This window comes from Homo sapiens, chromosome 17 (genome assembly GCF_000001405.40).
Source record: "Homo sapiens chromosome 17, GRCh38.p14 Primary Assembly".
Classification (NCBI taxonomy): Eukaryota; Metazoa; Chordata; class Mammalia; order Primates; family Hominidae; genus Homo; species Homo sapiens.
In genome coordinates this window covers 8,784,548-8,812,523 of record NC_000017.11, presented here as the reverse complement: position 1 = coordinate 8,812,523, position 27,976 = coordinate 8,784,548, and the positions used below count along the sequence as shown (strand labels likewise).

The 27,976-nt window shown below is 48.0% G+C and overlaps 2 protein-coding genes across 22 annotated transcripts in view, besides 6 other annotated features; both read left to right on the top strand.

Annotated features, from left to right (window-relative positions):
* Positions 1–9,802, top strand: part of PIK3R6 (phosphoinositide-3-kinase regulatory subunit 6) — a 64,956-nt gene extending 55,154 nt beyond the window's left edge. For 17 of the 21 annotated variants that reach the window (XM_047435450.1, XM_047435452.1, XM_047435444.1 and 14 more), the window contains 2 exons: positions 8,371–8,483; positions 9,095–9,802. In XM_047435450.1, coding sequence (XP_047291406.1) covers positions 8,371–8,483; positions 9,095–9,415 — 434 coding nt within the window. In that variant the 3' untranslated portion in view covers positions 9,416–9,802. The other 4 variants (NR_110865.1, NM_001290211.1, XM_047435456.1 and 1 more) reach the window with 4 other exon arrangements.
* Positions 5,087–5,287: a silencer, noted in NCBI's record as "peak2720 fragment used in MPRA reporter construct". NCBI's record gives its function as "represses an SCP1 promoter by STARR-seq MPRAs in K562 erythroleukemia cells {active_cell/tissue: K562}" and the evidence as "EXISTENCE:reporter gene assay evidence [ECO:0000049][PMID:32103011]".
* Positions 5,087–5,413: a biological region, named in NCBI's record as "MPRA-validated peak2720 silencer".
* Positions 5,134–5,413: an enhancer, noted in NCBI's record as "active region_11704". NCBI's record gives its function as "activates an Ori minimal core promoter by ATAC-STARR-seq in GM12878 lymphoblastoid cells {active_cell/tissue: GM12878}" and the evidence as "EXISTENCE:reporter gene assay evidence [ECO:0000049][PMID:35858748]".
* Positions 5,424–5,523: an enhancer, noted in NCBI's record as "active region_11703". NCBI's record gives its function as "activates an Ori minimal core promoter by ATAC-STARR-seq in GM12878 lymphoblastoid cells {active_cell/tissue: GM12878}" and the evidence as "EXISTENCE:reporter gene assay evidence [ECO:0000049][PMID:35858748]".
* Positions 5,534–5,673: an enhancer, noted in NCBI's record as "active region_11702". NCBI's record gives its function as "activates an Ori minimal core promoter by ATAC-STARR-seq in GM12878 lymphoblastoid cells {active_cell/tissue: GM12878}" and the evidence as "EXISTENCE:reporter gene assay evidence [ECO:0000049][PMID:35858748]".
* Positions 13,026–13,085: a silencer, noted in NCBI's record as "silent region_8187". NCBI's record gives its function as "represses an Ori minimal core promoter by ATAC-STARR-seq in GM12878 lymphoblastoid cells {active_cell/tissue: GM12878}" and the evidence as "EXISTENCE:reporter gene assay evidence [ECO:0000049][PMID:35858748]".
* Positions 13,159–15,414, top strand: MFSD6L (major facilitator superfamily domain containing 6 like). Its single transcript, NM_152599.4, has one exon. It carries the CDS (start codon positions 13,404–13,406, stop codon positions 15,162–15,164), a length of 1,761 nt encoding a protein of 586 aa, NP_689812.3. The 5' UTR covers positions 13,159–13,403; the 3' UTR covers positions 15,165–15,414.
* The last annotated feature ends 12,562 nt before the right edge of the window (positions 15,415–27,976 follow it).

Below are 27,976 nucleotides of genomic sequence, written 5' to 3'. Positions count from 1 at the left end.
TTTATTGAGACTCACCTTGTGGTCTAGCATATGGCCAATTTTTGAGAATGTTCCATGTGCAAATGAGAAGAATTACATTTTGCAGTTGTAGAGTAGATTGTTCTGTAAATGTCTGTTAGGTCCATTTGGTCTAGAGGCCAATTTAAGTCCAGAGTTTCTTTGTTGATTTTCTGCCTTGATAATTTGTCTAGTGCATCAATGGAGTACTAAAGTCTCCCTCTATTATTCTATTGGTGTCTGATGTGGTTTGGCTGTGTCCACACCCAAATCTCATCTTGAATTCCCACATGTTGTGGGAGGGACCCAGTTGGAGGTAATTGAATCATGGGGGTAGGTCTTTCCTGTGCTGTTCTTGTGATAGTGAATAAGTCTCACAAGATCTGATGGTGGTATAAGAAGGAGTTTCCCTGCACAAGCTCTCTTTTTGCCTGCTGCCATCCATCTAAGATGTGACTTGCTCCTCCTTGCCTTCTGCCATGATTGTGAGGCCTCCCCAGCCATGTGGAACTGTAAGTCCATTAAACATCTTTCTTTTGTAAATTTCCCAGTCTCAGGTATGTCTTTATCAGCAGTGTGAAATGGATTGAGTAAATTGGTACCAGTAGAATGGGGTGCTGCTGAAAAGATACCTGAAAATGTGGAAGCAACTTTGGAACTGGGTAACAGGCAGAGGTTGGAACAGTTTGGAGGGCTCAGAAGAAGACAGGAAAATGGGAAAGCTTGGAACTTCCTAGAGACTTTTTGAATGGTTTTGCCCAAAATGTTGATAGCGATATGGACAATAAAGTCCAGGCTAAGGTGGTCTCAGATGGAAATGAGGAACTTGTTGGGAACTGGAGCAAAGGTGACTCTTATATTTTAGCAAAACTGGTGGCATTTTTGTGGAACTTTGAACTTGAGAGATATGATTTAGGGTATCTGGCAGAAGAAACTTCTAAGCAGCAATGCATTCAAGAGGTGACTTGGGTGCTGTTAAAGGCATTCAGTTTTATAAGGGAAGCAGAGCATAAGAGTTTGGAAAATTTGCAACCTGACAATGCAATAGAAAAGAAAATCCCATTTTTTGAGGAGAAATTCAGGCTGGCTGTAGAAATTTGCATAAGCAATGAGGAGCCAAATGTTAATCCCCAAGACAATGGGGAAAATGTCTCCAGGGCATGTCAGAGGTCTTCACAGCAGCCTCTCCCATCACAGACCCTGAGACCTAGGAGGAAAAAATGGTTTCATGGGCTGGGCCCAGGGTACCCGTGCTGTGTGCAGCCTAGAGACTTGGTGTCCTGCATCCCAGCTGCTCCAGCCATGGCTGAAAGGGACCAATGTAGAGCTCGGGCCATGGCTTTAGAGGGTGCGAGCCCTAAGGCTTGGCAGCTTTCATGTGGTGTTGAGCCTGCAAGTGCACAGAAGTCAAGAATTAGGGTTTGAGAACCTCCATCTAGATTTCAGAGGATATATGGAAATGCCTGAATGCCCAGGCAGAAGTTTGCTGCAGGGGCAAGGCCCTCATAGAAAACCTCTGCTAGGGCAGTGCAGAAGGGAAATGTGGGGTCAGAGCCCCCATGCAGAGTCCCTGCTGGGGCTAGGAGCTGTGAGAAGAGGGCCACCATCCTCCAGACCCAGAATGATAGATCCACTGACAGCTTGCACGTGTGCCTAGAAAAGCTGCAGACACTCAACGCCAGCCCATAAAAGCAGCTGGGAGGGAGGCAGAACCCTGCAAAGCCATAGGGGCAGAGCTGTCCAAGACCATGGGAACCCACCTCTCACAACAGTGTGACCTGGATGTGAGACATGGAGTCAAAGGAGATCATTTTGGAGGTTTAAGATTTGACTCCCCTTCTGGACTTCAGACTTGCATGGGGCCTGTAGCCCCTTTGTTTTGGCCAACTTCTTCCATTTGGAATGGCTGTTTTCACTCAATGCCTGTACCCCTGTTGTATCTAGGAAGTAACTAACTTGCTTTTGATTTTACAGGCTCATAAGCAGAAGGGACTTGCCTTGTCTCAAATAAGACTTTGGACTTTGGACTGTGGACTTTTCAGTAAATGCTGAAATGAGTTAAGACAGGGGACTGTTGGGAAGGCATGATTGGTTTTGAAATGTGAGGACATGAGATTTGGGAGGCGCCAGCAGTGGAATGATGTGGTTTGGCTGTGTCCCTACCCAAATCTGATCTTGCATTCCCACATGTTGTGGGAGGGGCCTGGTGGGAGGTAATTGAATCATGGGGACAGGTCTTTCCCATGCTGTTCTCGTGATAGTGGGTAAGTCTCATGACATCTGATGGTGATATAAGAAGGAGTTTCCCTGCACAAGCTCTCTTTTTGCCTGCTGCCATCCATGTTAGACGTGACTTTGCTCCTCCTTTGCCTTCTTCCATGATTGTGAGGCCTCCCCAGCCATGTGGAACTGTAAGTCCATTAAACCTCTTTCTTTTGTAAATTTCCCAGTCTCAGGTATGTCTTTATCAGCAGTGTGAAAATGGATTAATACAGTGGCTATCTCTTTGATCTAGTAGTATTTAGGAATCTGGGTGCTCCAGTGTTGGGTGCATATTTATTTAGAATTGTTATGTCTTCTTGTTGAATTGATCCCTTTATCATTATAGATGACCTTGTCTTTTTTTACTGTTGATTTAAACTCTGTTTTATCTGATATAAGTATAGCTACTCCTACTTGTTTTTGGTTTGATTTGTGTGAAATATCTTTTTCCACCCCTTAGAGTGTAAATGTCTTTAACAGTTAGGCAGATTTCTTGTATGCAGCATACAGTTGGATCCTGTTTTTCTTATCCATTCCACCAGCCCATATCTTATTGATCCCCCTACTTCAACCTCCTGAGTAGCTGAGACCACAGGTGCAAGCCACTATGCCCAGCTAATTTTTTAATTTTTTGTAGAGAAGAGGTTTCACTACGTTGCCCAGGCTAGTCTCAAATTCCTGGACTCAAGTGATCCTCCTACTTTAATGCCTGGAACTCAAGCATCCCAAAGTGCTGGGATTACAGGCATGAGCCACTGTGCCCAGCTGAGCCTATATCTTTTAAGTGGAGCATTTAGTCCCTTACATTTAAGGTTAGTATTGATATGTGAGGTTTTGTTCCTGTCATAATTATTACCTAGTTGCTTTGCAGTCTTGTGTAATTGTTTTATAAGACCTACATGTTTTATACTTTCTTGTGTTTTTATGACAATGAGTATCACCCTTTTCTTTCCATGTTTAGAAATCCTTTGAGCATTTCTTGTAGGACCTGTCTAGTAGTGACAAATTTCCTTAGTGTTTGCTTGTCTGGTAAATACTTTATTTCTCTTTCATTTATTAATTTAGTTTAGCAGGATACAAAATTCTTGGCATCTTTTTTTCTTTAAGAAGACTGAAAATAGAACCCCAGTCTCTTCTGGCTTGCAAGGTTTTGGGTGAGAAGCCTGCTGTTAGTCTGATGGGATTCTCCTTTTAGGCAATTAGACAAAATATGTATATTTGAAGTTATGTTTATATGTTAATACTCCAATGAAGCTGGCTTCTAGCACTGTCATAAATGTTTTCCCCAGTTTTATATTCCTTTGGTCAATTTTGAATGGAATTCCATCACTAGAGCTGAAGCCCTGTACTCTGAGTCTTTAAATACCCTAAAATCTATAAATTCAGAGACAACACTTTCTTATAGACTTTCTTCTACATGCCTGACTATTACTTGTTGGCCTCATTCCCTGAACTCCTTTTCCTAGATCCTTAAGTAGCTACTGTCCTCAATTTCTATCCATGGCTCACTTCTTTTTTCATTTCCTGGACTATCAAACTCACAAGGATTTAGTTCCATTTGTTAAGTCCTCCCAAATCTGTGTCTTCTGCCCTGACATTCATACCTGAGTTTTTGACTCCTGCATTGAACTAAGTTAGCATGATCTGGATGTCCCACAATACCACAAACTCAAGATATTAAAAATCAAAGCCAGTACTTTCTAATAGTTAAGAGCTCTCTAGAGCCAGATTGTCTGGATTCAGATCTTGCCTCTGCCATTTACCAGTTATATGATGTTAAGCAAGTTAATATCTCTGTGACTCAGTATCATTTTATAAAAAGGGGAGGCAGTCATTCCTCAGTATCCATGGGGATTATTTCCGGGACCCCCAAGGATACAAAAATCCATGGATGCTAAAGTCTCTTACTGTTGGCCTTTTGTATGTGCAGGTTCCACATATGCAGATATGGAGGGACAGCTATAATAACATTACCTACCTCATCCAGTTATGAGGATTGATTGTGGCATGCGAAGCTCTTAGAAGAGTGCTTGGCTAAAGTAAACATTATGTATGTGTTAGCAGTCATTTTTATTTCATCTCCTTCTTATATCTCCTGTCTCGTTTAATGGTACCATCATTAACCAATCACCTCTGCCGGAAACCCAGGAGTCATCCCTGGTGCCTCCTCTTCCTCACTTTCCTTTGTCCCGATGGAACACTTCTCAAATCTCTCCCTTCTTTGTCCTCTCTATTCTGGTCCAGCTTGGTTGGCCAACTGTCCCTGTTTGCCTGGGACTAAAGGGGTTTCTTGGACTTGGGACTTTAAGTGCTAACACCAGGAAAGTCCCAGGCAAATCAAGCAAGTTGGTCACCCCAAGTCTGACCTTCATCTATCTCCTTCCAGCTGGTCTCCCCGGCAATACTCTGATCCTCCTTAAGTCCACCTTCCTGCCCATGTTATTCCGTACTTAAAACTCCTCCATCTTCTCCCATTCTCCAGGGGCAGAAAAACTCTTCAGTGTTGCATAGCTTCACTCCCCTTCTTCTCCATCTGCAGCTTTGGGCACTCCCTGGAGGCTCTTCCCACCATGTGTTGGGAAGTGTTCCTGAAGTCACATCCCTGTGCCTTTGCTCACGCTAGTTGCCTGACCTGAAACCTCATTCCTCCCTTCCACCTGCCCACCTTCTTTTTATAATTTCTACTCATCCTACAAGTTGAGACTCAGGTGTCATCTCCCTCAGGAGGCCTTTCCTAATGCTTTTCCCCCTTCCTTCCACATCCTCCACCCTCCTCCCCTCACCTAGGTGAGCTAAGTGTACCACCTCTGTGCTCCCATAGGACCCTGGGGACACAGCTATGGAAACATTTGTGACACTATAAATGGCATGATCTTTGTATGTCAATGGCCTGCAAACTCCCTAGACTCAGGATCCTCATCTTAGCTGGTGTGGTGTCTGGCCTGCAGCAGGGCCTCACCGGATGTTTGTTGAGTCATCTAATCCACCTTCCACCTCATCCTAGATCTCAAGCCGGAACTGGAAGCTGACGCTTTCTGAGGCAGCCTATCCACTGTAGGAGAGTTCTGATTGGCTGAGAGGTCTGCCTTGAGCTGAAATCTGTCTTCGTATAGGGCAACCCCATATTGAAGTTTTAGGCTCCAAAGTGGACCTATTTACCCTTCTGTTGCATTTCCTCTTTCAAAGTTCCTTAAAGTGGTTTCTGTTTTTAATGACCTCTTTAAACAACCTGGTCAGGGGCTTTTTGAAAGTCTAAACTTATCACTTCAGCAAGTTCCCTTTTATCCCTACAGGGACTTGCTAGGGGAAAATTCCAGTAGCTGTGCTTTCCTCTCAGAACCAGGCAGGTCCACATACATGTTTTGTCCACATGGACTGGATGATAACCACTGAGGGGAAGCTCATGGTGAGCTGGAGTAAGAAGGCAGAGACAGCTTGAAGAATGGCATGGGGGCAAGGGCCTGTGGCTAGCTCAGTAAGTTTAAGGGTCAGATATGACCTTAGCTGGATTGGAAGTTTGAAATAGAACAGAAGTGGGAAATAAAGCAGAAACAGAAGAACTGGGGCTTTGGGGTATGTTGTTAGGCCACCAACAGAGAACAGGAGACAATTAGCAGCACTTTGCCCATTCCTTAGTCTTACAGAGAGTGGGATCCTTTGCAAATTCTGCATCTGGCCCTTTCCACTGGCTCCCATGGCTTCATTTATAGACTAAAATCTAAGACTCTTGTGCTCCTTATGGGCCAAAGCCAAGCAGGTAGAGTGTGTCTAGGTGTGCAGACCACAAAGGGAAATGAAAGGCATCTGCCCACACCGCAGGCAGGTGGGAGGAGGCCCAGAGACTGTGTGTGATTACCTAGAAGGTGGGGCTAGGTCCATGGGCAGGGCGTGGAGGCCCAAATCCTGCCAGAGACACCTAGAGCAGCCTGATGCTAAAGAAGGAACACCAAGTTGAGAGTCAGAGAGCTGGCCCCATGGCTACCACTGTGCAGGCTTCAGTGGGTCACATTCGATCCCCAGTCACCTAACCTATGGAAACCATGCATCTCTCTCACCAGGTGCAATCAGTTCAGGTGCAATTCCATTCATTATGGCAAATAGAACGTACCTGGCTTTCGCCCACCCTCCCCCAGCTCATGCAGGACTTCAGCCCCCTGCAGTCTCTCCAGGTATTTTTGGAGGGTCACAAGTGACATTCCAGTATCAACAATCATTCCATTAGCTGTCCAGTCAGTGCCTACTAGGTTCCACTGCCTGCCCCCCTGACCACAACCTTCCCACTGTGCCTGACAGCTCCAGAGCACAGAGCACTAAAGGTGCCACAGGCTCTTTTTCTTTTTTTTTTTTGAGACAGAGTCTCATTCTGTTGCCCGGGCTGGAGTGCAGTGGTGCAATCTCAGCTCACTGCAATCTCTGCCTCCTGGGTTCAAGCGATCCTCCTGCCTCAGCCTCTCAGGTAGCTGGGACTACAGATGCCCGCCACTACGCCTGGCTAATTTTTTTGTATTTTTGGTAGAGATGGGGTTTCACCATGTTGGCCAGGCTGATCTCGAACTCCTGACCTCAGGGGATCTGCCCACCTTGGCCTCCCAAAGTGCTACGATTATAGGCATGAGCCACCGCGCCCGGCCAAGGTGCCACAGGTTCTGTTGGCACCAGGGGAGAAGCCCCCTCTCCCCTGAGTGTTACCCTCTGTCATGGAGTTGCCCCGTCTTACAGAGGTTTTGTTAAATCTGTCTTTACTCACAGCTCACCCATTCAGACGCACAGGAGTCTATGCATAGCGGGGTGATAGGTGGGGGCTTGGCCTAGGGGACAAACCAAGAAGAGAAAGAACCCACAGTAGGTTCCCCTTCCCCTCTGACACCTGGGACTTCATTGCTGAGTCCATGAGTCATGCTTGGCTCCTTCTTGGAAAATTATAATTAATAAGAGTTCTTAACAGTGTCTTGGGCTCTGTTCCAAGCACTTAATATATACTATCTCATGTAATCTTCACAACAATCCTAAAAGGTAGCACAGAGAGATTAAGAAACATGCTTAAGGTCACACAGCTAGTAAGTGGCAGAACCGGGATTAGAGCCTGGGCAGCCTGGCTTAGAGACTATGCTCTTACCCTCCTCCCAGTGGATCCTCCATGGCCTGTCCACAGACTTCTGGCTGGCCTACCCCCATCCCCTAAAAGTTCAGCTGAAATGCCTGGACACGTGTGAACTCCTAGTTCAGGCTGCTGCTCGTGCCTCTGCTAGATGACACTGAACAACTCAGTGGCTGTTCTCAGCCCTGCCTACACTCAGGAGCTTTTTAAAAAATGCCCGTACCTGGGCTCAATTCTATGCCACTTGAATCAGAATCTCCAACATTATGTTTTTGAAAATTGATTCTTATGGGCAGCCAGGGTTAAGAACACTTGAATGAGATGGTCTCTGAGGCCTCTGGCAACTCCAGGGTTCTGTGGTTGTAAATTACCCAAAGTCTGTGTGTGGGATGAACCACAACCTCTGAAAGCTCCACCTGGAACCCACAATGCTCCAAGTTCTCTGCCCAATGGGAGGCGACCTCTCTGGAGCTGCTCCCTCAGGTCAGGAGTTATAAGGATGCCTGGGGGTGCTTTCCTTCGGCTTGGTCTGAGCTTGGGGTCTTTGGCTGCTTTCTAGACCCTCTGTGTCTGCAGCAGGTAAATAATGTTGTATGTGATTTAATGCTGAGAACCGGGGTCAAGACTTTTAAAACCCCTGAAATACTCCCCAAATTCCATATACATTAACACGTCTGTCATAGAGGAGGTGCTCGGAAAATGTTGAAGAAATCAACACTCGAGTTCAGGTAACTTGACAACCTGGCAAGCACTATCCACAGCATTCCCGTTTGTGTTCAAAATCAAGGACGGCAGGCTGGGAAAAGAACTGGAAGAACGATGTGAGATCCAAGGGCAAGGGCAGCCTAGAAGCAGTTTGTGCAGGGTTGTCACTCCTCAGTCACTTGCAGGAGGAGAGCTGGGGACCCCATGTGCTGGACTGAAGAAATACACCAGATTCCAGGGTAGGGCATGTTGGCAGGGCCACCTGTCGAGCAAAGGCAACACTCACACGTGCGATCTCTGTGCTGCAGACAGTGACCAACACCTTCAGGACGAACAATATCCAGATCCAGAGCCGGGACCAGAGGCTGCTGACACTGTCGCTGGACAAGGACGATCAACGCACTTTCAGGGATGTGGTCAGGTGAGGCTGGGCCTGCCAACCCTAGATGTCCAGGGCCCGTGGGACAAACTGAAGCAGGAGCCAGCTCCTGCCATCTCCTGCCTCTAGCTCAAGGCACCTCATCGGAGGTAGATCCTGTGGCCAGGCAGGTAACCTTGGTGAGGATGGACAGAGGCCACTGCCCTATGCTTTGGATCCAGGAAGTCGAGGCAAATGAATGGCATACCCAGGGCAGCAGCTGATATTGCATTTTCCCCAGATGCCTCTGCATACACTCAGCCTGCAGCCTCCTGATCCAGTCCCCTCTGCAGGCACGGGCCCCTCCCACACAGGCTGACCTGTGGCATCTGTGTTCCAGTTAGCTGACCCTTACTGGCTTCCCCTCGGGAGGTGTGTTTGGGTAAGGGAGGCATGCGCAGAGTTACTTGCTCCAAGTGTCTCCTCTCCCGGTGAACCCCAGGCCCAGGTTTTTCTTTCTTGTCCTGACTCTTCCTCTTTCTTCTGTGTAGCCGCCTCCTCTATGCCCTACAATAACAGCTCTAGGCCCTACAATAACAGCTCTGCCTTTCAAATGCCCTAGGCAATCTGATCCCTCAGATGGGTCACCTGAGCTGGTCTCTCTCCACCCACAGATTCGAGGTTGCTCCCTGCCCAGAACCATGTTCTGGGGCCCAGAAGTCCAAGGCACCGTGGCTCAATTTGCATGGGCAACAGGAGGTGGAAGCAATCAAAGCCAAGCCCAAGCCCCTTCTGATGCCCATCAACACATTCTCTGGTATTGTCCAGTGAGCCTGCAGGGACAGCAGGCCCAGGAGGAAGGATACACTACCCCACCAACTCCAAACACTCACACCAACAGCCAGAGCAAGGCCCGGCTCCACACGGCAGCTTTGGCCTTGACCAGGAGCCAGCGAGTGCCTGGGAGCACAGGGAGCCTACCCTGGGGACTGTGATGAGGAAGGGCCCACATGGAGGTCTACGGATGGCCCAGGCAATGCTGTCGCTGCTTGAGAACATACACACCAAGCCCAGCTTCTCATACAAATGTCTACTCCTTCATTTAGCTTCAATTCCCACTTCTCCCACTGTCCTCTCCCACCCAAGCTCCCCATCCAGCCCTTAAAACCAGGGTTAAAGCTGCTGTCTTGGCCAGAGCCCTGTGGCCTAGGGGAAAATTGGAAGCAAGGAACAGCAACAGCACCACCTCCCTCCCAAGTCTCTTCCCTTCCCACTCTCAGGCCACTGCCCACCTCACTCAGCCCAGGCAGGTGTCTCTATCAGGTGAGAGAAAAATGTCAGACTCAATAAATGTACACTGAAGTCTTTCTGCTTTCATCTCATACCTGGCAATATTTATATGTTAATAGGAATCATCAGGGCAGTCCTTTTTATAACCTATTGAGTCCACTTGGGCCAGGTAAGAGTTCTGTGAAGTATAAACTAGTGTGTTCTGTCTCCTGCCCCTTGCTTACTCTGTCACTGCTCTGGAGTGCAGTGGCACAATCACAGCTCACTGCAGCCTCCATCTCTCAGGCCCAAGCGATCCTCCCACCTCAGCTTCTCAAGTAGCTGGGACCACAGGTGCATGACACCATGCCCTACTACATTTGGGATTTTTTGTTTTGGGGCCTTTTTTTTTTTTTTTTGACAGTCTTGCTCTGTCACCCAAGCTGGAGTGCAATGGCATGATCTCAGCTCACTGCAACCTCCACCTCCCGGGCTTAAGCGATTCTCCCTGCCTCAGCCTCCCAAGTAGCTAGGATTACCAGCATGCACCACCACGCCCTGCTAATTTTTGTACTTTTAGTAGAGACAGGGTTTCACCATGTTGGCCAGGTTGGTCTCAAACTCCTGACCTCAGGTGATCTGCCCGCCTCAGCCTCCCAAAGAGCTGGGATTACAGGCATGAGCCACTGCACCCGGCCGTTTTGGGGCTTTTTTTTTTTTTTTTTTTTTTTTTTTTGTAGAGATGAGGTCTTCCTAAGTTGCCCAGGCTGGTCTTGAATTCCTTGGTTCAAGGGATCCTCCCACCTCGGCCACCCAAAGTGCTGGGATTACAGGCGTGAGCCACCACACTGGCCAAGCCAGAGATTAAAGACACCAAAATTCTTGGCTTTTATGTTCAAAAACTTACATCCAAGTGTAAAATAGAAAGATCAATGACACATCTTCAGTTTCTTCATCCCCAGAAATAGGTATGGTGTGGGGGGAGAGTAACAGAGAAAACAAAAATGCTTGGACTTGAGTCCTATCACCTGTAGAAGATTCCCTTTTAAGTTTGGGAATCCAAGAATAGAGAAGAGGGCGCCTTGCTTTGGGCCAAATTGCCCCAGGAGTGGAAGCAAGTCTCAATGGCAGGATACCTTCTCAATGCCAAGGGGAGTGTAAGATGGACCACCTGGGGTGCAGAGCCAGAGGGGTCCAAGGTCAGTCTTAGAGAGATTCCCTGTGCTTGTACAGGACATGGGAAGCAGGCGGAGATTTTCTCGGGTGGCTGAAAGCAGGCAAGCTCAAAGGGAAAATGGTGCAGCTGCAGGCAGCAGTGTGGAGCATGGCACCTGAAGGCCAGGTGCAGAATTGTAGGCACCTCCACAGACTCCAGCATGGTGCAGTGAGGGAGGGAGCCTGGAGGATGCCATTCACTCCATTCTCACTGCCCCCACCCTGACTGATGGTTTTACTTGCCTGAAGCAATCCAGGTGTTTAGCCCAAGTTCCTGGGCAACATGGGCAGCCAGAGGCTGGGCGGGGCCCTTGGTCTAGCTCCAGGTGCACCCTGCAGGCCCCAGGACATGCCCCTCGCACACCTGCACATGTCCAGGCACATTGGAGTCTGACATCTGCCTCCCAGTGGAGATGAACCCAGGACAGGTCAGGACTGAGAAGTGGATGGATGCGCTATCCTCCACTGAGGCTGCCCACAGAAGAACCCAGGGAGGGGCAGGAGTAGGGCAATCATTAGTGTGACTGAGGTGGTTTTAAACCTGAAATGATTGCAGTAGCACTGAATTTGAGTGAGTTTACCTGGAGGAGACTAGATTTTATTTTTCCTGCCATTGGTATGATATAAACGGATTCATACCAATTTCATCACCAATCATTAGGTTTTCAGTAGATGTCTGCAGAGTTTACCAGTTTTTTAGGTTAAGTGAGGCCCCTGGGCCTGCTCCCCAACATACTCTCTACCAGCTGACAATGCAGGCAAGTCATAGGCCGAATTCCCTTACACATAGACATGTGTTGGCAAGCAGTTCCACTCCACCCCCAGCCAAATTAGGTGCTCTGAGCAAACCTTGTATGAAAAGTTTACTGAATCAGGAGCTGCACACTGGACCATTTTGAAGCAAAGCCTATAGCATCCTTCCAAAGGGTTTGGACTACTGGCATCTCTAGATTTTTTTTTTTTTTTTTTGAGACGGAGTCCCACTCTGTTGCCCAGGATGGAGTGCAGTGGCGTGATCTCGGCTCACTGCAAGCTCCACCTCCCGGGTTCATGCCATTCTCCTGCCTCAGCCTCCCAAGGAGCTGGGACTACAGGCACACACCACCACAACCAACTAATTTTTTTGTATTTTTAGTAGAGACAGGGTTTCACCGTGTAAGCCAGCATGGTCTCGATCTCCTAACCTCGTGATCCACCTGCCTCGGCCTCCCAAAGTGCTGGGATTACAGGCATGAGCCACCGCACCAGGCCATCTCTAGATTATTATAGCCTGTTCCAGCAAGAGAGGAAATGCCTTCAAAAAAATTATCTCCAATCCAGGTGGCTTGGACACCACTAATTTCACCAGTGAAAAACTATTTCTAATATCTATTATGTCCATTAGTGAAGACACTTCTGTTGATTTAAGATTGTCGACGTGCTTGTACTAGCTGTCTCTGTCTTTTTGATGAAATGCTAGCTAACCACCTCAAGTGTGTGTACTCTCAAACAGGGCACCAGACCACCCTTAGGTGTAGGTTAAAACTGTGCAGCACATACATATGGCTCTGGGGACTGCCATGTGCTGGCGATCGGCTGCAAGGAGTTCCCCTGGACGACTGCCATCAGCTGTCAGCCCTCCTTAGGGACTGTCCCAGCTGGAGACAACCATGTCACCCAAGGTCATGCCATTTCCGAGGGCAGTATGCATCCAATGAAACAATTCTAGGCCCCGGGGACAAAAATACCTGCCTTCCTGGAGCTTGGATTCTGGTGGAGACAGACAATAAACAAAGTCAACACATGAAATATAAGCCCGTAGTGCCTTGGTCAGTGATAAGTTCTAGAGAGAACGATCAAGTAGGGCAGGGGAGTGGGAGTCTTGGGGGCGGGGTGGGTACAGGGGTATGGGATTTGCGATGTCAGAGTGGACCGTGTTGATCTCTGTCTGTGGTTGGTCACTGATCAGGGTGCATTCCAGTACAGACCTGAAGAAGATGAGGGAGACAGCCTGGTGGATACCATTCATTCCATTCTGGCTCCCCCCCACGCCGACTCTGACGGTTTTACTTGCCTGAAGCAGTCCAGGCGTTTAGCTCAGGCTCCTGGGCCACATTGGCAGCCAGAGGCCAGGCGGGGCCCGAGGCCTAGCTCAGAGCGCACCCTACAGGCCCCCGGACGCGCCCCTAGCGCACCTGCGCACGTCCGGGCAGGTGGCCCGCGGAGGCGGTGGGACGTGGCAGGTGCGGCTCGCAGGTGCGCTGGCCCCGCCCCCACCTTCGCCCCCGCCCCGCCTCTCCCTCCGGGCGGGGCCCCTTTCGGTCCAACGGCAGGACCTGGGGGCTGTGGCCGGGGGCGGCCGTTGACCTGGTGACCGCGGCGCCGCCCCAGACCGGGGGCGCAGTCCCACTCGCTCCGAGCCCCGGTCCCCCAAGCCTCCCTCCCGGGTACCTGGGGCCGCGCCCGCCCTGCGCCCAGCTCCGCCCTCCGTCGGCCCAGGCCTGACAGAGCCCGGCAGCCATGAGTGCCAACCCCCGGTGGGACATCAGCAGGGCGCTGGGGGTGGCCAAGCTCTTCCACCTGGTGTGCGGGGTGCGGGAAGCCTGCGTGACCCCGTTCCTGACCCTTTACCTGAGGCAGCTGGGCTTGGCCGCGCCCTGGGTGGGCACCCTAATGGGAACCAAGCACCTAATCGCTGCCTTCTGGGCTCCCGTCTGTGCCTTCCTGGCCAAAAGCTACCGGAAAAGGAGAGCGCTTCTGATCGGCTCCCTGCTCGGCTCGGTGGGGGCCAGCCTGCTGATGGTCCTGGTCCCACCGGTAGACAAAAATCGGGTGCACTTCCCTTGTAATGGAAGCAGCGGCCTGACCAGCACAGACGCACTCCCGGGGGTCACGCTACCTGTGAACATCACCTCGGCCCAAGAGTCTGCCTCCAGCCACCCAGCCAAGAGGACTGCAGAGGTGGAAATGCCTGGCTTCAGAAACCCACCTGGTGAAAGTGACCGAGAAACTTTCCGTGATCTGCACGTCTACTTAGCGCCCTCCGTTGAAGGAGCTAGGACCACATCCCAAGCTCTCCTCCATCCTGTCACTTCGGGGCTGAAAGATCATCCCTGGGAAGTTACTTTTGAGGTGGTCAAGACAGCCCTCCCCTTGCTTCCTGGGGGGAAAGGGCCCGGGAATCCAGCCAATTTGTCAGGGACCAAGGGGAAAGCCTGGGCTTTTGACCTGTCCTTGGAGGCGTTGCGGCGGACTTTTATCCTCTCCTTGGGGTCCGTGGCGTTCTGGGAGCTGCTGACAGCGCCTCTGGAGCAGGTGGCAGATGACAGCCTTTATGAGTTCCTGGATTTTGTGGATGCCACTGACCGATACAGAAGCCTGTGGGTCTGGAGGTTGCTGGGCATGTCGGCAGGCGTGTGTGGCATCACAGCCTTGGTGGGGCAGCTGGACTGCTTCCTGATGACCAGTGGCCCCCGAGGTGTGGTCCACTTCTATGGGTACTCGGTGGTCAGCACCCTGGCCTTACTGGTGAGCATTGCCTTTCCCATTCCCATCTGTCAGCAGTGGGAGCCCAGCTACAAAAGGGTCAAAGCACTGTCCATTGTGGGGGGTGACCCCCACCTCATTCTCCTCGCCTCCACCACTGTTTTGGTAGGAGCCATCGTCAGTACTGTCCAGAACTTTCTGTTCTGGCACATGAAGGACCATGGGAGCGGCGAGCTGGTCATGGGTTTCTCGGTCGCCCTCAGCTTGCTGGGGGAAATTCTGCTTCATCCGTTCAAAGCTACATTGCTTAGGAAACTGTCCAGGACGGGCCTGGTGGGGCTGGGGCTGAGCTGCCTCGCTGGGCAGCTGCTGTACTACTCTTTCCTCTGGAGCTGGTGGTCCGTCCTCCCCATTCAGATCTTGAGTGCCATTAGCAACAGAGCTTTGTGGTGGGCTGTGGGGGCCTCAGTAGAGGACCTGGCCACTCCCCGCATGGAGAGGGCTCTGAGTGCCTTGTTCCGAGGCCACTTTTACGGGAGTGGCTGTAGCCTGGGCAGCTTTGTCGGGGGCTTCGTGGTGATGCGCTTCAGCCTGGCTGTGCTCTACCAGGCCTGCTGTGTGGCCCTGTTGCTCTGGTTGGCCTTGCTCCTGTCCATACAGCGGAGGCTGCCCCGAGAGCGGAAAATCAAGTACTCGAAGCTGCTGTCCATGGAGGTGAGTGACACCAGTGACTCTGAGCAGGGGACAGAACAGGACTGGCTTGTGAAGGCCATGAGGGAGGAACACTCAGACTGAAAGGGCTGAGAAATCCAGAGTGTGCTGATCCAGCAAGGAACGAATGGACTGAACAAAACTCAGCCTGCTGAGGACAGAAACCTGCCCTGGACTGCTGGGAGCCGGGGAAGAGAGGATGGGTCTGTGCTGAAGGCCCAACAGGATCATCTCATTGCATGATTTTCTTTACTTTTGAAGTAAAAGGAGATTTAACTTTTTGCCAATCTTTTTTAGATAATGGAGGAAGAATACATTTGCTTTTTAAAAAGTTCCCTCTATAGTCACTATATGTTTACGTTTAAGGTTTGCAAAAGTCCTGACTCAGGTGCTGTTGAATTCAGCAATGGCTGAAGCGATCAAATCAAACTGTCAGTGCCAGGAAGACCATGGGGACCTGCAGGATTCAGTTGGCAGAGAGGGCAGCTGACTTGGATGAATCATGGCATTCCCAGGGGTCATAAAGGCATTAGCCTGCTTCTGTGAAAGCCATGCTGTGGGCAGGTAAGAATGGTAATGGAGGACCGGGCGTGGTGGGTCATGCCTGTAATCCCAGCACTTTGGGAGGACGAGGCGGGTGGATCATGAGGTCAAAAGATCGAGACCATCCTGGCCAACATGGTGAAACCCCGTCTCTACTAAAGACACAAAAATTAGCTGGGCGTGGTGGCGCGCACCTGTAGTCCCAGCTACTCAGGAGGTTGAGGAAAGAGAATCACTTGAACCCTGGAGGTGGAGGTTGCAGTGAGCTGAGATCATGCCACTGCACTCCAGCCTGGTGACAGAGCAAGACTCCATCTCAAAAAAAGGATGGTAATGAAAACAAACTCCTTTCTGTTCCCACTGGTATACAGGTGCCCACACTCACACCCAAGTACTTCCAACAGGAGAAAATAATGGGAAATGTATGTGTGTTGGGGGGGAAGTGGGAGGTTAATAGGTTTCATTCTTACCTTCTCACACATGTGTGTCCCACTTAGAATCATCATCTATATTTACATCAGAGCAGGGGCAATTTCATGTCTTTTGAACTCACATTTTGCATGCTCTGCCTCACAAAGCACATGGAGATTTTAACATCTGTTTTATTGGGGTGCAGACATCTCCATAGGTCAGGGTGCTATAGGTTCTCCATGCTGTACCTGTGCCCAGGCACTTGGTGGGGTTTTGGGAGTGACAAACTAGTGCTTCTGCCTTCCCAAACTCCCCCAGGGGAAGGGCCTGGAATAAAGGGCCATTTATTTCAGAGGCCAGTCCCAGGGCCCAATTCTTCGACCTTATCATTAGTTAAACATAGGATATTGAATTTAGAAGAAGCCTCACTGCACAAATGCAGAAAACGTCTCACAGCTGGAGAAGGGGAAGCAGATATATGAATGTCCACTGGGTCAGACATGGTTCTAGGATCTTTATTTGTTGTTGTTGTTGTTTGTTTTTTTGTTTTGTTTTGTTTTGTTTTGAGACAGAGTCTCACTCTGTCGCCAGGCTGGAGTGCAGTGGCGCCATCTCGGCTCACTGCAACCTCCAAGTCCCTGGTTCAAGCGATTCTCCTGCCTCAGCCTGCCAAGTAGCTGGGATTACAGGCGTGCACCACCACACCCAGCTATTTTTTGTGTGTGTGTGTTTTTAGTAAAGATGAGGTTTCACCATGTCGACCAGGATGGTCTCGATTTCCTGACCTCGTGATCTGCCCGCCTCAGCCTCCCAAAGTGCTGGGATTATAGGCGTGAGCCACTGCACCTGGCCCTTTATTTGTTTTTTAATTCTCCCTAAGAAGTTTAAGGTACAAATAATCAACAAAAAAATTACCTCCACCCTAAACAATAGAGATTTGTCTCATATATATATAAAACATTTAGGGGTGGGCAGCCCAGAGATGCTGCCACTGCTGGATGATGCCACTAGGGATCTAGAATCTTTTCATCTCCTCACACTGTCATACTCAGCCTGTAAGCTACCCTCCCAGATTTGTACCCTCATAGGAACAAGATGGCTGCTGCTCTGCCAAGCCTTTCATCCATGTTCCAGGCAGTAAGAAAAGGGGAAGACAATAGGGCAAAGGGAGAAACAGGAACAAGTGTCTGTATCAAGAAAATAGGCTGCACGGTGGGTGGCTCACGCCTATAATCCCAGCACTTTGGGAGGCCGAGGCAGGAGGATTGCTTGAGCCCAGGAGTTGGAGACCAGCCTGGGAAACATGGTGAGACCTTGTCTCTTAAAAAAAAATAATAATTAGCCAGGTATGGGGTGTGCATCTGTAGTCTCAGCTACTCATGAGGCTGAGGTGGGAGGATAGCTTGAGCCCAGGAGTTTAAGACTGCAGTGAGTTGTTTGTGCCAATGCACTCCAGCCTGGGTTACAGAGCAAGACCCTGTTTCCAAACAAACAAACAAACAAACAAACAAGAAAAAGGAAAGATAAGCCTTCCCAGAAACTCCTCAGCAGAGAGAACCGTGTCACATGGCCACCCAGCTGCAAGGAAGTCTGGGAGGAAGTATTTTCAACTAGGCACAGTTACACACCAAGCAAAATCAGGGTTGCGTTAGGAAGAGGGGGCTGGATATAGAATTGGCAACTAACGACATCTGCAGCGGCCTCCACGATGGAACTCACAGCCGGGTCCAGCTTATTGCAAAGCCTGCATTCCTTTCACCCCACTAAGCCAGCTTCCCCGACAGAAATGACTTTAGTAATGTGACCCCCACAACTACTCTATGAATAAATCAAATTTGTTATCTGCATTTTACAAATGAGAAAGTGTAGTCTCAGAAGTCACACACTGGGTCACTGGCAGAAATACTACCAGAGTCCTGGATTTCCTTACTCCAAATTTGGGGCATTTTCTTCTGTGCCGGTAGTCTGGCTGTCGATCCAAGTAGGAGGAGCATTTGCAAAAAGCCAGGTTCCTGGGTTCCACCAGAATCTCACAGGTGGGGCTCAGTAATCTGCATTTTTGGAGCAATCTCCGAGTGATTCTGATGTGGTTAACCAAGCACTGTTTACTCGGTTGTCCTTTCCAGCTCTATTTGTCTCAACAGTTCTTTGCCAAATGTTTCCATTTGCAGTGAAACAAATAACAACTATTGAGTGGTCACTCTAGGCCAGGCACTGTTCTAAACAAGGTACGTGGTGTACGCGTACTAGCTCATCAAGTAATCATAGGACGTAGTCACCATTAGCATCTCCAGTTTCAGATGGCAGAACCGAAGGTTCAGTAACTTGCCTGAGGTCACGCAGCTAGTAAGTGGCAGAGTTGGTATTCAGATCCAGCCTGGTGGTTCCTGGGCCTGAGATTTTAATCACTGTGCTCTATGCTGGAGAAATTGAGGGGAAAGAGGGGGGGGATTAAATATTAAGATCTAAGGTAGCCATCACTTGAAATTGACTGGATAGTAGATAATATTTACTATTTCAACAGAACATACAATAATACCAAAAAGCAAACACATGTATGTCCTCTTAAACAAAAGGATGAGGAACAGGAACTGGCTTAAGAAAAGAGTTAAGTAAGTGTGATCTAGCCTGAACAAGAGGAAGAAGGAAGAGAAAAAGAAGCGTGAGTTGGGGGGAGGGGGTGTACAGGACAAGACCGAAGACTGAGGGAGGTGATGATTGATGGATCTAAAAGATTTTAAGGGAAGGATGGGAGGCCAAGATGTTCATTTGGGCTATTTAGTTAATGTTTGACTTTATGTTTTCTTTAATGTATGAAGCCCCTTTTTCCAAAGGGGAAAAAAAAAGTTGTGCTACTTGCCATGGGGAATTCAAGGATGAATAAAATGCACAGTCCACACCCTCAAGAAGCTAACAGTCTAACTAGAAGATTTACTTACACACACACACAAACACACAAACACACACACAACACACACACACACACGGAAGCACAGGACAGTGTGGGAGATGCTGCAGAAAAAGTATTACTAGAGTTTAAGAAAGAGAACATTTCTGACTCAATAACTCAAATAAGGTTTTGTGGAGATTATATTTAAGTCTAAGTCTTCAAGGATAGGTAAAGTTTATTTATTTATTTATTTTTACTTTTGTTTTATTTATTTATTTTTTTTCTGAGATGGAGTCTTGCTTTGTCGCCCAGGCTGGAGTGCAGTGGCACAATCTTGGCTCACTGCAAGCTCCGCCTCCCGGGTTCACGCCATTCTCCTGCCTCAGCCTCCTGAACAGCTGGGACTACAGGCGCCCGCCACCATGCCCGGCTAATTTTTTGTATTTTTAGTAGAGACGGGGTTTCACCGTGTTAGCCAGGATGGTCTCGATCTCCTGACCTAGTGATCCGCCCACCTCGGCCTCCCAAAGTGCTGGGATTACAGGCGCGAGCCACTGCGCCCGGCCTAGGGTAGGTAAACTTTTAACAGGTAAAGTGAGGGTGGTAACCTAGGAGAGGGCATTCTATGACTATATAAACAAAGCTGCAGAGGTGGAAAAAGCATGAAGAATACTTGGAGGGTAGCAAGACATACAGTTTGGCTAAAGCGAAGGATTTGTGTAGGATGGTGCTTAAATGCAAGGCTGGAAAGACAGATGGGACCAGGTCATGAAAGGCCTTGATCCTGTAGACTTTGGATAAGCCATGGAGGGCTCTGGTCAGGGTCATAAGAGGCCACACTGAGCTTTTTTTTTTTAAGTAGCTTTATTGAGGTATTAACATATAATAAACTGCACATATTCAAACACCGGTGAAATGCCTCCTGCCCTTTATAATCCCTCCTCCGTAGCGTGCTCCATTTTGGTCCCGGGCAACCACTGATCTACTTTCTGTCACTGTGTGTTAATTTGCATTTTTAAAGACTATAGTATGTCCTCTTTTATTCTGACTTTTTTTACTCAGCATAATTGCAATGACTTCTGACAACAACTACCAGGAGCTAGGCTCAAGGTTAAGGGCTCAAGACTGCTCCCACTTCAGATGCAGTCACAATTTTGGGGGCTTCCCACTCCCCTCTCAGGTTTGGTAATTCACTAGAAAACCCCACAAGACCCACGAAAGAACTACACTTATTATTACAGTTTTATTGTAGCCAAAGTTTTCAAAATCAGAACCAGCCAAAAGAAGAGATGCACAGGGCAAGGACTGGGAGTGTCCCAAACATGAAGCTTCCATGTCTTCTCCTTGTGGAGTCAGGACAAAGGACCCTTCCAGCACACTGATGTGAGACAAGACACTGAGCGTAGCCAAGCAGTCAGACTCACCCGAGCTTTGATATCCATTGTTTTTATTAGGGGCTTCATCACATAGGCATGACTCATTGGATCACTGGCCTATGACTCAATCTTCAGCCCTGCTCCTCTCCCCAGAAGTCAGGCCTATATCAAAAGCTCAAAGCCCCAACCTTCTAAATACATGGTTGGTTTTTCTGGCATGGCCAGCCCCCATCTTGAGTCATTCCATTAGCATAAATTGTGTAAGGTCCCATCATGAGTCACCTCATTAGCATAAACTCAAGTGTGGTTGACAGGCCAACCACCAGTAAAAAAGACACTCTTCGACTTGGAAAATTCCAAGGATTTAGAGCCTATCTCCCAGGAACTGGGGACAAAGGCCAAATTCTTTATTACACAGGATAATTAATTTGAAAATCAGCAATGATCTTAAGTGCATTAATAGTTTCTTCCTTTTCATTGCTGAGTAGTATTCCATTGCATGGATATACCACGATTTATCCATTCATTTATATTGTATTATATTACCATACATTTCAATTCCAAACATGTAATTGCTTTCAGTTTTTGATGATTACAAATAAAACTTTTATGAATATTCATATCTAAGTCTTTGTGTGAACACACGCTTTCATTTCTCTTGGGTAAATACCAAGGAGTGGATTGACCAAATCATATGGTAGACATATGTTTAACTTTTAAAGAACTGCTAATAGTTTCCCAAAGTGGTTGTGCCATTTTACATTCCCACCAGCAGGGCATGAGAGTTCCAGCTTCTCTACACCCTCACCAACACTCAGTAAAATCAATCTCTTTAATTTTAACCGTTCTAACAGGCATGTAGTAGTAGAGTTGTTTCTTGGTATCCTTGGGGAATTGGTTCCAAGACCACCTCCTACAGATACCAAATCCAAGGATGCTCAAGTCCCTTCTATATAATGGCATAGTATTTGCATATAACTTATGCACATCATCTTATATACTTTAAATCATTTCTAGATTATTTAAAATACCTAATATAATGTAAATGCTATGTAAGTAGTTGTTATTCCCTACTTTTGCATCTGTATTATTTTTGTTGTTGTTTGGATTATTTTTGATCCATGGTTGGTTGAATCAGCAGGTACGGAGCCCACAGATACAGAGGACAGACTGTATCTCACTGTGATTTTAATTCTCATGTCCCTAATAACTAGTAATGTTGAGCACCCTTTCTCTGTACCGTGCTTTTGAAAATTAATCAGCAGCATAGAAGTACACAAGAATAACAACAGCCTCAGGTGACTATAAGAGCACATTACCTATCAGAATAGTAAATGCTTCAGAGCAGTGGTCTTTGTTTCTAGAATGCTTTAATGGGAGGAAAAAAAAAACAGAACAAAACAAAAAGACTTGATAACTTTGTGTCTTGGATAGTTTTACATACTCACAAGCCTAAAGATATTGAACCAAGTCAAATGATCTCTAGAGGCCCCTTTGACAATTCTTTTTTTTTACATTTTTTATTAGCAATGCTTTTGGAGAAAGAGCTTTTGAGAATTCAAATGTACGCGTGGGGATATGGCCTTTGTAGGAAAATGCTGAGACCACTGACTGCTTTCAAAGTTTATAAAAATGCGGAAGATGATCTTCAGTGCAAATTCCTTCGTTTAAACAAAGTCTGTCCCTGCCACACTGTTTGCCACATGGGTCTCCAGCATGCGGGATGGGAATAGTAATCTTTCTGACAGGCACATCTCTATAGGAAGTCTTTCCTGACCAACACCCTACTTTTCTATTTCTGCTAACTTTGGTTTACCATTCCCCCTCGACTTGGTTTCAAGGAAGTGGCTTTTCACGTTTTAGGGCATATTGTTTCCTTTAATAAGCTGACGAATGTCACAGGGGCTGTCCTCTGAAATATGCATATCAGATTTTTCATGCTGGTCACATTTCATGGATAAAACAACAACAACAACAAAACAGTCACTGGCCTCAGGTTAATTAAACAGATGAACCTGCTTGAGGCAGATTTTCTGCCAGATATCTTCCCAATGTCCCAAATTAGGAAACCTCCTTTCTAATTTCGTCTTCCCTTTACTCCATGACCTGTGATTTTGCTGTCACGAGCTTCCCGAATTCTCTTCACTTTGCCCCTTCTCCTTGTTGAGCCCTGCAGGCTTCTGTCTTTATGCTGGCGGCACCCTGGGGTGAGGTGTTGCAGAGTCAGAGGCTGTGATAGAGGGAAGTAAGTTCAGAGTGAAGGCCCTGGGCTCAAGCGTTCTTCAGGTCACCCTTCCTTCATAAGTATGTACTGAGCAAGGCTGTGATCCTTCAGGGTGCTGGGTGAGTCTTTAGGAACGCGTCTACCACTCCCTCCTGCATAACGTCACCAGATGCCTCCCACATCTTCCCGGGGTAATTAATGTCACCTCCCAATGGCTTTATGCCATTCTGCACATTTTGTTCACAGGGCCGCAATCATTGTTTGGGGATGCACATGTGAACTACCCCCCCCGTCCGATCGGAGTAACACTCAACGGACTCTCTCCCTTGGATATGAGGCCGATGCTACCCACCCTGCCTATTTGTGCAGATGTGAAACCTTGAACTGCACTTTGTTTCTATGACAAAGCCTGCCTGGGAACAATACTGACAATTTAGAAGGAAAGGCCGAACCACAAAACCATGTCCACAAACAGAATGGGACAGGACAACGTAAATGTCAAGTGAGAAGTTTAAATAGTGAGCATTTCTCTCTGGGCAGACAGGACAGCTGAGCGCAGGGACCTTCTGAAAAGACCCTCATGGAGTTTATGAAATAAGCCGGCGTATGGAGGAAGGACTGGGTCGTAAAGTCTTAGACTTCAAGCTGTGACTTTCACTCTATTACCTACTTTACCAGTAGGTCAGTTAAGCTTTACAGAATCAAAAGTAAATACAATTCTCAGCTCCTGATCTTGTAGCTGTTAAAGATATTGAGTTTGACCCTCTGACATGTCTTGGTTCCAGCTAAGAGGAATGTAAATATTGAATGAGCCATTAACCATCATGCTCAGGTTTACTTAGACCACTATTTCCCAACTGAGTTTTGCAGAACATGCAATCCTAGTGGTGTGGAGGGTTGGGGAGAGCATTACATAAGGATTCTGTCTGTGGTCAAACAACTTTGGAAAATGATGTTAATTATTGTCACCTTTTAGAAACTTGCAATACCTGTTAGCAATTAAAGACTCTCAAAAGCCTGCAGTCAACAAACTTGTTTCTCTCTCTTTGACCTATAATTCCCCTTATGTGGTGTCACAGCCTTCTTCGCATGTAACACTAATCACGATCTTTCAGAACTAGTGTTCCCTAGAAGACCCTTTGAAAAATGCCATTTGTAGTTTTCTGGATGATCTTTTCAACCCAATAGAGTTGATGCCAGGGACAAATCTGGGCTCCCACACCCAGACTAGCAGGAATCTTGTGCGTCGGGCTAATAAGAGGTGGACAAAGCTTATCTCATTAAGTCAGACCATCAAATTTATGAAATAAGATATTAGTATGGCCTCATTGTACAGGTGACTTGACTAAGGTTCAGAAAGGTTAAAATTCGAAACTAGATCTATCTGACCACAGAGTCCGTCCTCCCAACTGCTACATTCAACCAACTCAGGCAAGTGAAGAGGCTCTTCCTAGCAGGGGAGCAATGATCAGGGATAGGGGCACAATAGAGATAACACACCAGATACGCGTGTAGATTTCACAGGAGATTCATGGAAAATAAAGTTGGAAAGAAGTGTTGGAACAGATTGTGAACTTCCTAAGCCTCAATCTAAGGGAAACAGAACTCACACTGGTTGAAATTTGCTTCTGCTCTTTATGCCTCACACCTGCACACAGCAATACTCATAATCCTCATACTAATCTCAATTTACAGTAGGGGAAACCAAGGCTCAGAAAGGTCAACTGACTTAGTTGCCCATGGTTGCGACTATTAGATGGTAGAGCCATGGTTTGAACCCATATCTGGCTGCTAGAAATCCACGGTTGTTCCTCTGAAGACTATGGGGCCTCTAGAAGAGAAGATTTGACTAGCCAATGGAGAGGACTGAAAGCTTTTAACTCTTGCCTGTTGCGAAGTGAACAATGAGTCTGAGTTGGTGGAGATTATGGGTGCTGAGACATTTGTTTTGGACAGACCACCACAACATTCCAGGCAAGAAGAGGCTGCATCCCAAAAGGTATGAGAATCAAATGACAACATAGTATGTGTATTGGAATTTCAAAAGTGGAATCAACAAGACAGCCCTTGGTTGTTTATTGGATAATGGGGCCGCGGGGATCAACGAAGAAGGAGTATCAAGGATCGTGGATGATTTTGTAATTTTGAACCCATGTGATGAGGAGGAAATTCTGCAGAAATGGCAGAGCCCGGGAGCCCATGAAGCCATCCATCCAAAACCTGAAACCAAAGCTCAGATCATAAGAATTATAGACAATACAGGCCGGGTGCGGTGGCTCACGCCTGCAATCCCAGCACTTTGGGAGGCCAAGGCCGGCGGATCATGAGGTCAGGAGATGGAGAGCATCCTGGCTAACACAGTGAAACCCTGTCTCTACTAAAAATACACACACACACACACACACACACAATTAACCAGGCGTGGTGGCGGGTGCCTGTAGTCCCAGCTACTCAGGAGGCTGAGGCAGGAGAATGGCGTGAACCCGGGAGGCGGAGCTTGCAGTGAGCTGAGATCGCGCCACTGCACTCCAGCCTGGCAGCCTGGGCGACAGAGCGAGACTCCTTCTCAAAGAAAAAAAAAAAGAATTATAGACAATACAGCAAAAACTCCTCATCTGCTAGCTTCCTTCTACAATTGCTGACTGTCACTGAGACCAGAAGCCCTGCCACTTGGTGATGTTTGTGATGTGGAGCAAAGCAGAAGGCATGCTCAGCATCCACTGGCTTTCCACAGCCATGTTCATGAAACCTTTATCTTTTTGCTAGCCTGGCTGTGAAATGGCTTGGAGACATGAGGCTCCACTGGACTGAAGTTCTTTCCAATCCTGGGAGCCTGCGGTGCACGACAGAAACGTGACTGGTGAGGTGTTGCTGTGGTTTGAATATTTGTCCCCTCCAAAACTCATGTTGAAATTTAATCCTCTATGTGACAGTATTGAGAGGTGGGACCTTTAAGAGGTGAATGGTTCATGAGGATGCTGCCATCATGGATAAGTGAATGGGTTAATGAATTAATGGGTTATTATAGGAGTGGGGCAGGTGGCTTTATAAAGAGAGAGACCTGAGCTAGCATGCCTAGCCCCCTCGCCACGTGAGGCCCTGCAACACTTCGGGACTCTGCAGAGAGTCCTCAGCCTGAAGGCCCTCACCAGATGTGGCCCCTTCACCTTGGACTTCTCAGCCTCCGTAACTTTAAGAACTAAATTCCTTTTCTTTCTAAATTACCCAGTTTCAGGTATTCCATTATAAGCAACAGAAAACGGACTAAGACAGTTGTCATCTGCTACAGAAGTAAAACTTAAAATATGACCCCTGGGCAAGTCACTTACCCCACTGGGTCTCAGCTCCCATGTCTGAAAAATGAGGGCCTTGGTCTCTGTGACCTTCTAAGTTTGTGCCTCTCGGCCTTGACGTGATTCCCTCCTTTGGGCCAAGGGCACACCAGCCCTTCTCACCCTGCAGAATAGCATAGCATTCTGGAACCCGAGAGATGCTGGGGCCTGGAATGAAGGTTCATCTCCTTCCCCAGAACCTGGCAGAAAGTTCCTGGTCTGTGTGCAGAAGGACCACATTGAGCCAAGACACCAGCCCTATAGGCCAATCGATCTGCCCTCAAAGCCAGGGTCTAGGGAGTGGTGGGATGAGCCAGAGGGGGCAATCTGTGGTGACTGGAACTTGGTGTCTGGTCGAGGCCTGCAGCATGGGGGGCTACTGCGGAAGGCAGAGGTCTGGGTAGGCACCTTCAGGGCGGGGCACCTTCCTATTGGCACTCAACGTTCCCTTTAGCTTTGTTCATGTCGACCCCCATAGGCTGCAGTTTTGGACACTTGCATCCCCTCTGCCCTTTGCAAGGGGCAGGCCACGCTCTTGGGACTGGAAAGCTATTTTCTGCCTCCACACGGGGGTGGAATGGCTGTAAGCGGGGACTGAAGAGGACTTCTGAAAGCAAACCGGGACAGGAAGGGAGAGGATTCGACCAGGGGTTCCGAAGCTCTCCACCAGGGAGCGCCAAACACAAGGGAAAACTAGCGTCCCTCTTCATTGGGCAAACCTGGTCCCTATTCCCTTCCCAAAGCTGCAGCTCAGGATGAGGCCGGCAACCTGAAGGCCCTTTAGTTCTTGGAGCTTGGAATTACAGAAAACCCCGAGGATCAGGTGCTGCTGCTGAGCTGGCTTTGTGAGAGACAGGAGGCGAGGCCAGGGTCTGGGAAAAGGGAGCAGCTGCAAAGGCTTCCAGTGGAATTGGCAGATCAGCCTGGCCAGCCCAGACAGCCTCTGGCAGCCTTTCCTGAGGATATGGACGACCCTGATGCTACTTTTGTCTTGATCAGTGTAAATGTGAAGAAACAGGATAAATAGCTGCATGTACTTTTTGAGTTTCCTAGGGCTGCCGAGGGACCACCTGAGGTCAGAGTCACAATAATAAAACCAATTTCACAGACCCTCACCTCCTGCTCCTCAGCCCCATCCCCTTCCAAGCCTGGCTGCCCAAATCTCATCAGTGTATATTCCAGTGCCTGCAGAGAGAGGCTCACAAGGATTTACAAATAAGTCCTATCTCACCAGGCACTCACTGGATCTCTGTCACCATGGAAGAGATGAGAAGATTCCAAGAAAATTCCAAGACCCTCCACTATCATATCAACATGTTACAATTTTCCTCTTTCAGGAAGCATGTGGCATCCAGAAACAGTGCTTCTTCCTATTGTTCTTGGCAAATTACATCAAAATCTGTGTGCTCTTAGCCCAGAAAAGAGATGACACTTCCAGGAAGGAGAGAATATAGCACCTGCTTTTGGCTAAAGCCCCTCTTCTCCAAGGTTGTACTGGCAGGTTTTCTAAATTTTGATTAGAGAATAGTGAGAAGCTTGCCCTTGGAGAGGTGAGTTAGGTAAGAGAGCTATGATTGGATGTCACCACTGAACCTACCTGAAATGAGGTAAGAGAGTTGGGAATGGATCCCACCAGAGGCCCATCATTTTTATGGCAAGTCATAAGAGGGATCTGAATGTCTCCCCCCATGACAATAGCTGTCCCATCTTGCCTTGGAGCTTGGCTGTCAGCAGCAAATAAACCTCACTGTGTCTGTCCCTGGGACTAGCGAGTCAGACCAACTCAGGGGCTCAAGGTGTTTGGATATTTGAAGAAGTCTTGCCTTCCACAGAAGACCAGAGGTTGTGTGGTGATATCTGAATTTTGCTTAGCATTGTCTTGAACAGGAACTAAAGAAACATTTCAAGAAGAAAACAATTGCTTTTAAAAACTTAACTCTTCTTTGTCATTTGGTGCTCAGAAATCTTTGTCTCATTGCAAACAAAAGAAACTAAGTAAGGGCAGTCTTGGAAAGAAGACGCACCAGGTACCATTACTGCAGTCATACTGAGGCCCACCACCACCACGACTACCACCAATGGAAACGAGAGATGGGGTTCAGATGTGGATGACAAAGATG